Below are 15,694 nucleotides of genomic sequence, written 5' to 3'. Positions count from 1 at the left end.
CATGATATTTACCACCACCCAATTTACCTCTGCAGCGCTGTGTGTTATATGAACACCTATTAACTCTGTGTGCGGGCATCACACCATTTTACAAGATTTTATTTGTGTTCCTTACAAGATTGAGTGCTCCGAGACCAGAGATGATTCTGCTTCATTTTTGTAGCCTGATGCATTACCACAGTCCTTATCATATGGTTATATTTGCTGAGTTTACCTTTGGTTTAATTTATACAAATTTTGGAGGCTGGCTTCCTTGCCTGATCAAGTCCCATGACGTCTATCTTATCTTTCAGCTAAGTATTGAAATGTTAATCTTCTCAGTATAATCAAATTTAATTATTGCAGCTGTTTCTGTGCTCAGAGGTGGAGTGTGTGTTCTCAGTAAGTCAAACTAATAAATGAATGTAGTACAGTTCTAAGGTAGATTGTTTGCTGCTCCAGAAATAAAAAAAAAATATGTTGCCATCCAATATGTCTCCATCCCATACTACCAGATTCCAAGACTTCCACACCAAATGGGTGGACAATCCACAGAGAAGAAAGCCACCAGAGAGATTTAATGCAATCAGAGAAGTAATCTGCAGGGAGTTTATTTGGTATGGAATAAGCCCTGCTATTCACATTTGAAGAGACTTTCAAACAGACTGATAAAATGCTTCAATAACTCACAGAATTGGTGAAATCTGACACCTCAGAGAGATAGTTATGGGATTCTGTAAGTTTTAGAGATATGTCTTGCGGATGAATTGGATGTTGGCAGGTAAGGGAGATGCCAGGTTTCTGGATTTGACTGTTTGGATGGAGGTGTCAATAATCAAGAGAAGCCACAGAGGAGGAAGAGTAAATCACAACCACTTTCCAAAACCAGGAAGGAGGGCAAAACAGTGGAAGAAAAAAGTAATGCTTCTCCTGCTTTTAATACACACCTCTTCATTTAGGAATGACAGTAACTTAACTAGAATTAATTTACACATAAAAGATAATGTGTTAGATTTGATTACCAAATCTTAATAAAGATAGGTATAGGGCCAAGTATGGGGGCTCACCTATAATCCCAGTACTTTGGGAGGCTGAGGTAGGAGGATCACTTGAGCCTAGGAGTTTGAAACCAGCCTAGGCAACATAGTGAGACCTCATCTCTACAAAGTTTTTCCCAGCATGGTAATACATGCCTGTGGTGCCAGCTACTTAGGTGGCTGAGGTGGAAGAATCGCTTGAGCCCAGGAGGTCAAGGCTGCAATGAGCTACTGCACTCCAGCCTGGGTGACAGGGTGTGACCCCAACTCAAAAAAAATATATATAAGTGTAGAATTTGCCTTAGGGACATGATATGGTTTGGCTCTGTGTCCCCAGCCAAATCTCGTCTCTAATGATAATCCCCATAATCTTCACCTGTCTAGGGAGAGACCTGGTGGGAGGTGATTGGATCATTTACCCCATGACGTTCTTGTGATAGTGAGTGAGTTCTGATGAGATCTGATGGTTTTATAAGGGGCTCTTTCCCGTTTGCTCCTCACTCTTCTCTCTCCTGCTGCCATGTGAAGAAGATCCTTGCTTCCCCTTTGCCTTCCTCCATGATTGTAAGTTTCCTGAGGCCTCCCCCAGCCATGGGGAACTGGCTTAATTAAACCTCTTTCCTTTATAAATTATTCAGTCTTGGGTATTTCTTTATAGCAGTGTGAAAATGAACTAATACAGGGCAATTCAAAGTGGGAACTCACACACAATCATGATTTTAGACATTATTTACATGTAGTGACATGTAAGGATATTAATTTTACAGTTCTACATAACACATTCCTATTAAGTAATAGGACATTATTATCATCCTAGAAATTTCTGTAGAATCCTTCTTTATAACAAGGTATGCCCCTAGAAAACAGTTTACAAGAAAATATTAATTTATTTAAATATTTAGAGCAGCTTTAATCATAATAGGTAAGAAATATATTTATAGCAGCTTTAATCATAATAGTTAAAAGTGTTATTCTGATTCTAGAACCGCACATTTGTTTTGCTCTTTTGAGAACATTGTATAAATAAGATTACACACTATGCACTCTTTTATGGCTGGCTGCTTTCACTCAGCATGTTTTTGAGGTTTATCCATGCTGTTATACTTATGTAAAAAGTGTTCCTTTTTATTCCTGAGTAATATTCCATTGTATGAATATGGGACAAGTTACATATCCATTCTTTCATTGATGCACACCTGAATGCTTCTAGTTTTGAGCTGCTATACAATGAATATTTTTGTAAGTGTATTTTAGGGTCACATATTTTCAATGATCTGGGATAAATACAAGAGTAATTGCTGTTTAAAATGTAGATACATGTTTACTTTTTAAAGAAGCCGCTGAAGAGTTTTTTTTAAAGTGGTGGCTGTATAATTTTACCAGTTCCTCCCAACAATGTATGACAGATGTGGTTGCTCCACATCCTTATCAACATTTAATGTTGATAAGTCTTTTAATAGTAATCATTCTAGCCTGTGTGCAATTGTATCTTATTGTGCTTTTAATTTGCATTTTAATAATCTCAAGCATATATTTATGTGCTCATAAGCCATTTATGTCTTCTTTTAGTATCTGTTCAAGTGTTGTATATACTTAATTATAGTATATATATGTATGTATGTATGTGTGTGTATACATATATATATACATATATATGTATATATATAAAATTGAATTTCTCAGTCTATAAAAGTGGCATATCTTTCTATTTATTTAGGCTCTTAATTTCTATCAATGCTGTTTTAGTTCTTAGCATGGAGGTTTTGCCCACTTTTGTTAAATTAATTATATATATACAAACTATATATATATAGTTTGTATAGTTTGGCTCGTCTTCTCTTCTTAATGGTGTCTTTTGTTTACCAGAAGTTTTAAAGTTTGGTAGATTCTATGAAAAATTTTTTATTGTGATCATTGATTTCTGCTTCCTCTTTAAAAAATTTTGCCCACCTCAAGGGCACAAAGGTTAATTATTCTGTATTTTCTTCTAGAAGCTTTATAGTTTTAGCTTTTGTATTTTGTCTATGATTTATTTTGAATTAATTGGGTTATGGGGTATGGTAAGGGTTGTTTGTTTTTCCTATATGGATAGCCAGTTGTCCAGTATCTTTAGTTGGAAAGACTTTTATTTCACAATTACATTACTTTGGTAGCCTTGTCAAAAATCATTTGGCCATATGTCTTAATTGATTTCTGGAAGATTTATTGTTTCAATGATCTATTTGCTTAACTTTCTGCCAATACTGCATGAACATACTAATTGTAGTTTTGCAGTAAATCTCCGCATGTCTTATTTTAAAGAATTCTTTGGACTACTATAGTTTTTTGCATTTTCACATGAATTCTACAGTCAGCTTGTAATATCTATAAAAAATTGTCAGGATTTTGATTGGGATTGTATGAATGTATAGATTAATTTGGAGAGTATTAGCATCTTAATAAAATTGAATTTCTCAGTCTATAAAAGTGGCATATCTTTCTATTTATTTAGGCTCTTAATTTCTATCAATGCTGTTTTAGTTCTTAGCATGGAGGTTTTGCCCACTTTTGTTAAATTAATTTAAGTCACATTTATGTTTTTGGATAATATCACAAACAATACTGTTTTAAATTTTATTTTCCAATTTCTTATTTTCAATATAAAGAAATAAATTGATTTTTATAATGACTTTATATTCTATGATCTTCAATTTACTCATTGACCTAGTAATATTTTTTGAGATTTCTTAGTATTTTCTACATACACAATTATGTTATCTACAAATATAGATAGTTATTTTCCTTTTATTTCAACCTTTATACTTTTAATTTAGTTTTCTTCTTTGTCTGGTTAGGACCTCTTATATAATGCTGAATATAAATTTAGCTGTTGATACTTAATGGCAGAGTGACATCAGCAAGAAAGCTGACTAGAGGCACCTGGCATTCATCCCCCTCCTCCACAAGAAAGAAGAAATTCAAGGCAATGAATAAACAACTAAGATTCTACTACAGTGTTAAAGAGAGAGTACTGGAGTTCAGAGGAGGAGTGGGGAGGTACCTGTGGTGCGTGGAAGCCCAGGAAGGCGGCATGGAGGATGAACTCATTTTCAACAAAGGTGCTAAAAACACACAGTGAGGAAAGGACGGTCTCTTCAATAAATGGTGCTGGGAAAAGTAGATATCCACATGAAGAAGAATGAAACTAGAGCCCATATCTTTTGCCATATAGAAAAATAAAAGCAAATAGATTTAGGAGTTAAATCTAGGACTTCAAACTCTTAAATGACTAAAAGAAAACCCTCCAGAAATTCTCCAGGACATTGGACTGGGCAAAGATTTCTTGAGTAATACTCTACAAGTACAGGCAACCAAAGAACAAATGGACAAATGGGATCACATCGAGTTAAAAGGCTTCTGCACAGCAAAGGAAACTATCAACAAAGTAAAGAGACAACCTACAGAATGGGAGACAATATTTTCAAACTGTCCATCTGACAAGGGATTAATAACCAGAATGTATAAGAATTATCTATAAAAATATTATCTGATTTAAAAATAGACAAAATATATGAATAGATATTTCTCAAAAAAAGACATACAAATGGTAAACAGTTATATTAAAATGTGCTTAACGTCACTGATCATCAGAAAATGTAAATCAAAACTCCAATAATATCACCTTACCCTAGTTAAAATTAGTTTTATCCAAAAGACAAGTAATAACAAATGTGGTGAGGTTGTGCAGAAAAAGCAACCTTTGTACACTGTTAGTAGGAATGTACATTAGCACGACCACTATGGAGAGCAGTTTGAAAGTTTCCCAAAACATAAAATTAGAGCTACCGTATGATCCAGCAATCCTCTGCTAGGTATATACCTAAAAGAAATGAAATCAGTACATCAAAGACATATCTGCACTACTGCATTTATTGCAGCACTGTTCACAATAGCCAAGATTTGGAAGCAACCTAAGTGTCTACACAGAGGAATGTATAAAGAAAATGTTGTGCTTATACACAATGGAGTACTTACTATTCAGCCATTAAAAAGAATGAGAGTCTGTCATTTGCAACAATATGAAAGAAACTGGAGGTCATTGTGTTAAGTGAAATAAGCCAAGCACAGTGTGATGGTTAATACTGAGTGTCAACTTGATGGGATTGAAGGATGCAAAGTATTGATCCTGAGTGTGTCTGTGAAGGTGTTGCCAGAGGAGATTAACATTTGGGTCAGTGGGCTGGGAAAGGCAGAACCACTCTTAATCTGGGTGGGCACCATCTAATCAGCTGCCAACATGGCCAAGATATAAAGCAGGTAGAGAAATGTGAAAAGGTTAGACTGCCCTATCCTCCTAGCCTACATCTTTCTCCTGTGCTGAATGCTTCCTGTCCTCGAACATCAGACTCCAAGTTCTTCAGTTTTGGGACTTGAATTGGCTTTCTTTGCTCCTCGGCTTGCAGATGGCCTATTGTGGGACCTTGTGATTGTGTGAGTTAATACTTAATAAACTCCTTTTTCCCCAAGTCCCCAAAGTCCATTGTATCATTCTTATGCCTTTGCATCTCATAGCTTAGCTCCTACTTGTGAGAACATACAATGTTTGGTTTTCCATTACCGAGTTACTTAACTTAGAATAATGGCCTTCAATTCCATCCATGTTGCTGCAAATACCATTATTTTGTTCCTTTGTTGGCTGAGTAGTATTCCATGGTGTGGAATTTTATTTATCCACTCATTGATTGATGGGCATTTGGGCTGGTTCCATATATTTGCAATTGTAAATTGTGCTGCTATAAACACATGTGTGCAAGTATCTTTTTCATATAATGACTTATTTTCCTCTGAGTAGATACCCAGGAGTGGACTTGCTGGATCAAATGTTAGAGCAACTTTTAGTTCTTTAAGGAATCTTTATACTGTTTTCCATAGTGGTTGTATGAGTTTACATTCCCACTAACAGTGTAAAAGTGTTCTCTTTTCACCACATCTCCACCAACATCTATTATTTTTGGATTTTTTGATTATGACCACTCTTGTAGGAGTAAGGTGGTATCACATGGTGGTTTTGATTTGCATTTCCCTGATCATTAGTGATGTTGAGCATTTTTTCACATGTTTGTTGGTCATTTGTATATCTTCTTTGAGAATTGTCTATTCATGTCCTTAGCCCTTTTTTTTTTTTGCTTTTTGTCTTTCTCTTTATTTTTAATCTTTTCCATTTTACAAGAGATGCTCATTTAAACAACCCAGAGGGTGGATTTGAAGGGGAAATTTTTAAGGATTATCCCCCTCCTCATTTCTTGTAAGAACAGATTTCCCCTACACAGCTAAGTAGCAGTAGCTTCCCCAACATCCCCTGGAAAGAAAAAAAAATGTTAAAATAGGCCAGGAGTTTGAGACCATGATGGGATTTTATTTTTTTTCTTGCTGATTTGTTTGGGTTTCTTGTAGATTCTGGATGTTAGTCCTTTGTTGGCAGTATAGATTGTGGAGATTTTCTCCCACTCTGTGGGTTGTCTGTTTACTCTGCTGATTATTTCTTTTGTTGTGCAGAAGCTTTTTAGTTTAAGTCCCGTCTATTGTCTATTTATCTTTGTTTTTGTTGCATTTGCTTTTGGGTTATTGCCCATGAAGTCTTTGCCTAAATCAATGTCTAGAAGGGATTTTGCAATGTTATCTTCTAGAATTTTTATGGTTTCAGGTCTTAGATTTAAGTCCTTGATCTATCTTGTGTTGATTTTTGTATAATGTGAGAGATGATAATCCAGTTTCATTCTTCTACATGTGGCTTGCCAATTATCCCAGCACCATTTGTTGAATAGGGTGTCTTTTCACCACTTTATGTTTTTGCTTGCTTAGTCAAAGATAAGTTGACTGTAGCTTTATTTCTGGGTTCTCTGTTCTGTTTCATTGGTCTATATGCCTATTTTTATACCAATACCATGCTCTTTTGGTGACTATGGACTTACAGTATAGTTTGAATCCAGGTAATGTGATGTCTCCAGTTTTGTTCTTTTTGCTTAGTCTTGCTTTGGCTGTGCAGGCTCTTTTTTGGTTCCATATGAATTTTATGATTGTTTTTTCTAGTTGTGTGAAGAAGGATGGTGGTATTTTGATGGTAATTGCACTGAATTTGTGGATTGTTTTTGGCAGTATGGTCATTTTCACAATGTTAATTCTACCCATGTGTGAGCATGAGATGGGTTTGTATTTGTTTGTGTCATCTATGATTTCTTTCAGCAGTGTTTTGGAGTTTTCCTTGTAGAGGTCTTTCACCTCCTTGGTTAGGTATGTTCCTAAGTATTTTATTTTATTTTATTTTATTTTTTGCAGCTATGGTAAAAGGTGATGAGTTGTTGATTTGATTCTCAGCTTAGTAGCTGCTGATGTATAGCAGAGCTACTGACTTTTATACATTAATTTTGTATCTTGAAATTTTGCTGAGTTAATTTACCAGTTCTAGGAGCTTTTTGAATGAGTCTTTAGAGTTTTCTAAATATACAATCATGTCATCAGCAAATAGCCACAGTTTCACTTACTCTTTACCTTTTTTTTTTTTTTTTTTTTTTTTTAGAGTTGCACTCTTGTTGCCCAGGTTGGAGTGCAATGGCATGATCTTGACTCACTGCAACCTCTGCCTCCTGGGTTAGAACAATTCTCCTGCCTCAGTCTCCTGAGTAGCTGGGATCATAGCCGCCCACCACCATGCCTGACTAATTTTTGTAATTTTAGTAGACATGGTGTTTCACCATGTTGGCTAAGCTGGTCTTGAACTCCTGACCTCAGATGATCCACCCACCTCGGCCTCCCAAATTGCAGGGATTACAGGCATGAGCCACCGTGCCTGGCTCTGTTTACCAATTTTTATATCCTTTATTTCTCTCTCTTGTCTGATAGTTCTGGCTAGGAATTCCAGTATTATGTTGAATAGAAGTGGTGAAGGTGGGCATCCTTGTCCTGTCGAAGTTCTCTGGGGGGTTGCTTTCAACTTTTCCCTGTTCAGTATAATTTTGGCTGTGGGTTTGTCATAGTTGGCTTTTATTACGTTAAGATTTGTGCTTTTTATGCCTATTTTGTGGAGGGTTTGAGTCATAAAGGGATGCTGGATTTTTTCAAATACTTTTTCTTCATCTATTGTGATGGTCATGTGATTTTTGTTTTTAATTCTGTGTATGTGGTGTATTACATTTATTGACTTGTGTATATTAAACCATCCCTACATCCCTGGTATGAAACCTACTTGATCATGGTAGATTATCGTTTTGATTTGCTGTTGAATTCAGTTAGTTTGTTGAGGATTTTTGCATCTATGTTTATCAGGGATATTGGTCTGTAGTTTTGTTTTTTTTGTTATGTCCTTTACTGGTTTTGGTATTAGGGTGATACTGGCTTATAAAATGATTTGGGGAGGATTCCCTCTTTCCCTATCTTTTAGAATAGCATTGATAGGATTCATGCCAATACTTCTTTGAATATCTGATAGAGTTCAGCTGTGAGGCTGGGCGCCCCTGTAATCTCAACTATTCAGGAAGCTTAGATGGGAGAATTGCTTGAACCTGGGAGGTGGAGGTTGTAGTGAACAGAGATCATGCTACTGCACTCCAGGCTGGGTGACAGAGAGACTCCATCTCAAAAACAAAGAATTCAGCTGTGAATCTGTCTGGTCCTGGACTTTTTTTTTTTTTTTGGTAACTTTTTAATTACCATTTCTATCCTGCTGCTTGTTATTAGTCTGTTCAGATTTTCTATTGTTTCCTGACTTAATCTAGAACGGTTGTATCTTTCCAGGAATTGGTCTTCTCTAGGTTTTCTAGTTTATGCATGTAAAGGTGTTCATAGTAGCCTTGAATCTTGAATAATCTTTTGTATTTCTATGGTATTGGTTGTAATATCTCTCATTTTATTTCTAATGGAGCTTCTTTGGATCCTCCCTCTTCTTTTCTTGGTTAATTTTGCTAATGGTCTATCAATTTTTTTTATCTTTTCAAAGAACCAGCTTTTTGTTTCATTTATCTTTTAATTTTTTTGTTTCAATTTAATTTAATTCTGCTTTGCAATTTTTTTTGTTTTAATTTATTTTCTTAAATTTGTTGAGACTTGTTTTATGACCTAGCGTATGGTCTATCTTGGAGCCTGTTCCATGTGCTGATGAAAATAAGATACATTCTGCAGTTATTGGGTAGAATGTTCTGTAAGTATCTGTTAAGTCCATTTTTTCCAGGGTATGGTATTAAATTTCTTTTATACCATGTTGACTGTGTTGATGCCTTATCTGGTTCTGTTGGTGGAGTGTTTAAGTCCCCCACTATTATTGTGTTGCTATCTATCTCATTTCTTAGGTCTGGAAGTAATTGTTTTATAAATTTTGAAGCTTTAGTGTTAGATGTATGTATATTTTGGATTGTAATATTTTCCTGTTGGGTGAGTTTTTTTATTTTTACATAATGTCCCTCTTTGTCTTTTTTAACTGCTGTTAAAGTTGGTTTTTGTCTGATATAAAAATAGCTATTCCTGCTCTGTTTTGGTTTCTATGAGCATGCAATATTGTTTTCCACCCCTTATCCTTAAGTTTATGAGAGTCCCTATATGTCAGGTGAGTCTCTTGAAGACACCAGATACTTGGTTAGTGGTTTTTATGCATTATGCCATTCTGTATCTTTTAAGTGAGCATTTATGCCATTTATATTCAATGTTCGTATTGAGATGTGAGGTACTATTCTTTTCATTGTGTCATTTGTTGCCTGAATACTTTGTGTTTTTTTTTCATTGTGTTATTCTTTCATAGATCCTGTGAGATTTATCCTTTAAGAGATTTTATTTTGGTGTAATTTGGGATTTGTTTCAAGATTTAAGCTTCTTTTAGCAGTTCTTGTAATGCTGGCTTGGTGGTGGCAAATTCCCTCAGCATATGTCTGTCTGGAAAAGGCTGTCTCTTTCCTTCATTTATAAAGCTTTGTTTCAGTCAATATATAATTCTTGGCTGATAGTTGTTTTATTTAAGGAGGCAAAAGATAGGACCCCAATCCCTTCTAGCTTGTAGGGTTTCTGCTAAGAAATCTGCTATTAATCTGATAGGTTTTCTTTTATAGGTTACCTGATGCTTTTGCTTCACAGCTCTTAAATATTTTTTTTCTTCATTTTTTCTTTAGATAACCTGATGACTATGTGCTGAGGCAATGATCTTTTTGTGATTAATTTCCCAGCTGTTCTTTGAGCTTCTTGTATTTGGATGTCTAGCTCTCTAGGAAGTTTTCCTCAATTATTCCCTCAAATATGTTTTCCAAACTTAGATTTCTCTTCTTTTTTAGAACACCAATTATTCTTAGATTTGTTCATTTAACATAATCCCAAATTTCTTAGAGGCTTTGTTCATTTTCTAAAATTCTTTTTTCTCTGTCTTTATTGGATTGGGTTAATTCCAAAGCCTTGTCTTTGAGCTCTGCCAAGTTCTTTCTTCTACTTGTTTGATTCTATTGCTGAGACTTTCCAGTGCATTTTGCATTTGTCTAAGTGTGTCCTTCATTCTGGATGTAGTGATTGTTTTCTTATCTATGCTGTCTATTTCACTGGAGATTTTTCCATTCATAGTCTGTAACTTTTTATTTATTTATTTATTTACGTTGAACTTCACCTTCCTCTAATGCTTCCTTGATTAGCTTAATAATGGACTTTCTGAATTATTTTTCTGGCAATTCAGAGATTTCATTTTGGTTTGGATCCATTGCTGGTGAGCTAGTGTGATCTTTTGGGGGTGTTAAAAACCTTGTTGTCATAGTACCAGAATTGTTTGTCTCCTTCCTTCTCATTTGGGTAGACTATGTCAGAGGGAAGATCAGGGGCTCAAGGGCTTCTGTTCAGATTCTTTTGTCCCACAGGGTACTCCCTTGATTTGGTGCTCTCCCTTTTCCTTTAAGGACGGGAATTCCTGAGAGCTGAACTGCAGTGATTGTTATTTTTCCTCTGGATCTAGCTACCCAGTGGAGCTACTAGGCTGTGGGCTGGTACTGGGGAGTGTCTTGTGATGTGACTGCAGAGAGTCCTGTGATGTGATCTGTCTTCAGGTCTCTCAGCCATGGATACCAGCACTTGCTTCAGTGGAGGTAGTGGGGGAATGAAGTGGATTCTGTGAGGGTCCTTGGTTGTACTTTTGTTGTGCACTGGTTTTGTGTTGGTTGGCCTCCAGCCAGGAGTTGTCACTTTCAAGAGCAGATTAGCTGTAGTAACATAGGGAGGATACAAGCTTGCCCTAGGGTCAGGCTCTGGTCAGGGCCACAGAGCTCCCAAGAGATTGTGTCCTTTGTCTTTGACTACCAAGAGAAAGACCATCAGGTAGGGGCAGGATTAGGTGTGTCTGAGCTCAGACTCTCCTTGGGCATGAGTTGCTGCAGCTGCTGTGGGGGATGGGAGTGTGGTTCTCAGGCCAATGAAATTACGTTCCTGGGTGGATTATAGCTGCCTCTGCTGCATCATATAGGTCACCAGGGAAGTTGGGGAAAGCTGGCAGCCACAGGCCTCACCTAGCTCCCATGCAGCCCACAGCCCACAAGGCATCTCACTCCCACCATGCCCCCACTCAATAGCACCAAATTTATTTCCAGGCAGCCAGTGAGCAGGGCTGAGAACTTGCCCCAGGCTACAAGCCACCCAGCTGAGAAAGCAAGCCTACTCACAGTTCCTCAGCTGTCCCATGGAGCCTGCAGCAGCAATCCACCTCCTTCAAAGAGTCTGTAGATTCTCTTGGCATTCCTGGTATGTTCCTGCAGTAATTCTTTGAGCAAAAGTTCATGGTGTGAGTTCCACATGCTGCTTTGTCCATCCAAGTGGGAGCTGCAAGTTAGTCCTGCCTCCTATCTACCATTTTTTCTGCCCTTTTCTCTGATGTGATTATTACACATTGCATGCCTGTATTAAAATATCTCATGTAGTTCATAAATACACACACCTACTATGTATCCACAAACATTAAACATAAAAAATTTTTTAGAAAATCCTCAAAACAAAAAATAGTGTTCCACATGTATCTGAAAATTTCTACTTGGCTGTTATTGGGTACATTCTTATTCTATAAATTTCAATTATGTAAGTCGACTGACAATGCTGTTTAAGTCTTCTGATATGTTCACTCAGTTTTCCCTATTTATTATGTCCCTGTGAAAGGAGTTGAAGTCTTCAACTTTGTAGATTTTTTTTTCTGTCTTTAGTTTCGTTGATTTCTGCTTCATGTGTTTGGATGCCTTTTTACTGGGTAAATATGCTGAATTGATCCTTTCTCACATTACTTTAAAGAAATACCTGGGACTGGGTTGTTTATAAAGAAAAGAGGTTTAATTGGCTCATGCTTCTGCAGGCTGTGCAGGAAACAAAGCAGCATCTGCTTCTGGAAAGGTGTCAGGAAACTTCTAATCATGGTGGAAGACAAAGGGGTAGCAAGCATCTTACATGGCAGGAGCAGGAACAGGAGCAAGAAAGAGAGTGCGAGGGGAGGTGTTACACACTTTTAAACGACCAGATCTCACAAGAATTCACTATCATAAGAACAGCACTAACGGGATGGTGCTAAAACCATTCATGAGAAATCCCTCCCATGATCCAATCCTTTCCCACCAGACCTCACATCCAACATTGGGGATTATAATTCAACATGAGATTTGGGCAGTGACACAGATCCAAACCATATCATTCTACTCCTTTCCCCTCCCAAATCTCATGTTCTTCTCACATTACAAAATGCAATCATGCCTTCCCCATAATCCTCCAAATTCCTAAATAATTCTAGCATTAACTCAAAAGTCTGAAGTCGAGAGTCTCATCTGAGACAAGGCTAGTCCCTTCTGCCTATGAGCCTGTAAAAGCAAAAACAAGTTAGTTACTACCAAGATACAATGGGGGAACAGGCACTGGGTAGATATTCTCATTCCAAAAGTGAAAAAAATAGGCAAAAGAAAGGGGCTACATGTTCCATGCAAGTCGAAAACTGACTTAGACTTAACTGAATGCAGAGCAGTCATTAAATCTTAAAGCGCCAAAATAATCTCCTTTGGCATCATATCCCACATCCAGAGAATGCTGGTGCAAAGGGTGGGTTTCCAAAGCCTTGTGCAGCTCTGCCCCTATGGCTTTGTAGGGTTCAGCCCCTGGTGCTAATTTTAAGGCCTGATCTAGAGTGCCTGTGGCTTTTCCAGGTGCAGGAATGCAAACTGTCAGTGAATCTACCACTTTGTGGTCTGCAGGACAGTGCCTTCTTCTCATAGCTCCACTAGGCAGTGCCCCAGTGGGAACTCTGTGTAGGGGCTCAAATCCCATATTTCCCCTCTTCACTGCTCTAGTAGAGGTTCTCCATGAGGGCTCTGCTCCTGCAGCAGGCTTCTGCCTGGGCACCCAGTATTTTTCATACATCCTCTAAAATCTAGGTGAAGGCTCCCAAACCTCATCTCTTGTATTCTATGCACCCACAAGCTTAATACCACGTGGAAGCTGCCAAGGCTTATGTCTTGCACTTTCTGAAGCAGTGGCCTGAGAGGCACCTGGACCCCTTTGAGCCTGGACTGGAGCTGGAGTGACTGGGATGCAAGAAGCAATGTCCTGAGACTGCACAGGGTGGCAGGGCCCTGGGCCTGGTACAAGAAACCATTCAGTCCTCTTAGCACTCTGGGCCTGTGATAGGAGGGGCTGGCCTGAAGGTCTCTGAAATGTCTTCAAAGCCTCTTCTCCATTGTCTTGGCTCTTAGCTCCTTTTTACTTATGCAAATTTCTACAGTCTGCTTGAATTCCTCCCCTGAAAATGGGCTTTTCTTTTCTACCACACAGCCAGGCTGCAAATTTTCCAATATTTCATACTCTGTATCTCTTTTAAATATAAGTTTCAACTTTAGGTATTTTCTTTGCTCTTGCATATGAACAAACACTGTTAGAAGCACCCAGGTGACATCTTGAATGCTTTACTGCTTCGAAATTTGTTCTACAGATACCCTAAATTATGACTCTTGAGGTAAAAGTTCCACCTATCCCTTGGGCAGAGGCACAATGCAGCCAAGTTGTTTGCTAAGGCATGATAAAAGTGACATCTGCTCCTGTTCCCAATAAGTTTCTCATTTCCGTGTGATACCTCCTCTGCCTGAACATAACTGTCCATATCACTATCAGCATTTTAGTCACAACCACTTAACCAGTCTCTAAGATGTTCCAAATTTTCCCTCATCTTCCTTTCTTCTTCTGAACCCACCAAACTCTTCTAACCTCTGCCTGTTACCCAGTTCCAAAGTTGCTTTCACATTTTCAGGTATCTTTATAGCAATGCCCACTCCTCAGTGCCAATTTTCTGTATTAATCTGTTCTCACATTGCTGTAAAGAAATACCTGAGACTGGGTAATTTACAAAGAAAAGCTGTTTAATTGGCTCATGGTTCTGCAGGCTGTACAGAAAGCATAGCAGCATCTGCTTCTCAGGAGGCTTCAGGAAGCTTCTAATTATGGAAGGCAAAGAAAGAAAAGTTGCCTTACATGGCAGGAGCAGGAAAAAGAGAAAGAGAGAGTGAAGGGGGATGTGCTGCATACTTTTAGACAACCAGATCTCATGAGAACTTACTGTCACGACAGCAGTACCAAGAGAATGATGCTAAACCATGCATGAGAAATCCCCCACCATGGTCCAATCACCTCCCGCCAGGCCCCACCTCCAACACTGGGGATTACAATTTGACTTGAGATTTGGGTGGGAACACGTATGAAAACCATATTATATGCACTTGAGATTGGTTTGTATTCTTGTCTAATTGACCCATTTATCGTTATGAAATGCCCTTTCTTTGTCTCTGATAATAAACTTCATCTTGAAGTCTACTTCTAATATTAACAAAACAATGCCAGTTTTCTTATGCTTAATATTTGCATGTTATACCAGTTATCTTCTTTTACTCTCAAACATTCTATATTCTTAAACATTCTTATGAACATCATTAGTTGTGTCTTGTGGTTTTATATTGTCTGGCAATCTCCGACTTATAATTTGAGTCTTTATTGCTTTCATGAAATTATTTGTTTATATGTGGATTCTATAAGTCCTACCTACTTTTTGTTTTTCTGTTTTCTCTTTCATGCCTGCTTTTTGCATAAATTATTTTAAAATATTCATTTTTATCTTCTCTTTTGATTTTAATTATACCCTCCTCTGTTAATTGTTTTCAGTAGTGACTCTAAAAATTACAGTAAGCATATTTAATTTCTCCTCATCTACTTTCATAAAATATTCTACTTCACAATCAATATAATAATGTTAAAAATGTATTATATAGTTACTGCTCTGCTGACTCATGTACTCTTTTTGTTAAATAGTTAAATTTTACACACACTCTAAACCACACATTACACTGTTAAATTATTTCTCCTTAAAGAGTCAATAGCCTTTTAAATAGGCTTAAAAATTATATAGTACATTAAGAATAATTTTTAAAATGCATTTATATTTACTGAAATATTCATGCTTTATAGAATTTTTTTCTTTCTTTCTGCATCACCAGTTTCCTATGTGATTATTTTCCTTCAGCCAAAGAAACTTTTTAAAAACACTTCATGTAGTACAAGCCTATTGAAGATATCTTCTTAAGTTGCTTTTTCTAAAAAAAAAATTATCTTCATTTTTGAACAATATTTTCACTGAATATAAAATTCAATTCTAGTTTGTCTGTTTTTCTTTCAGC

General features: G+C 37.1%; 1 protein-coding gene across 1 annotated transcript in view; it reads left to right on the top strand.

Moving 5' to 3' along the window:
- PRELID2 (PRELI domain containing 2) overlaps positions 1 to 15,694 on the top strand; it is a 606,358-nt gene that overhangs the window by 562,803 nt on the left and 27,861 nt on the right. The window lies entirely within an intron of this gene.

This window comes from Homo sapiens, chromosome 5, assembly GCF_000001405.40.
Source record: "Homo sapiens chromosome 5, GRCh38.p14 Primary Assembly".
NCBI lineage: Eukaryota > Metazoa > Chordata > Mammalia > Primates > Hominidae > Homo > Homo sapiens.
This window is presented reverse-complemented; position numbering and strand designations above follow the sequence as displayed.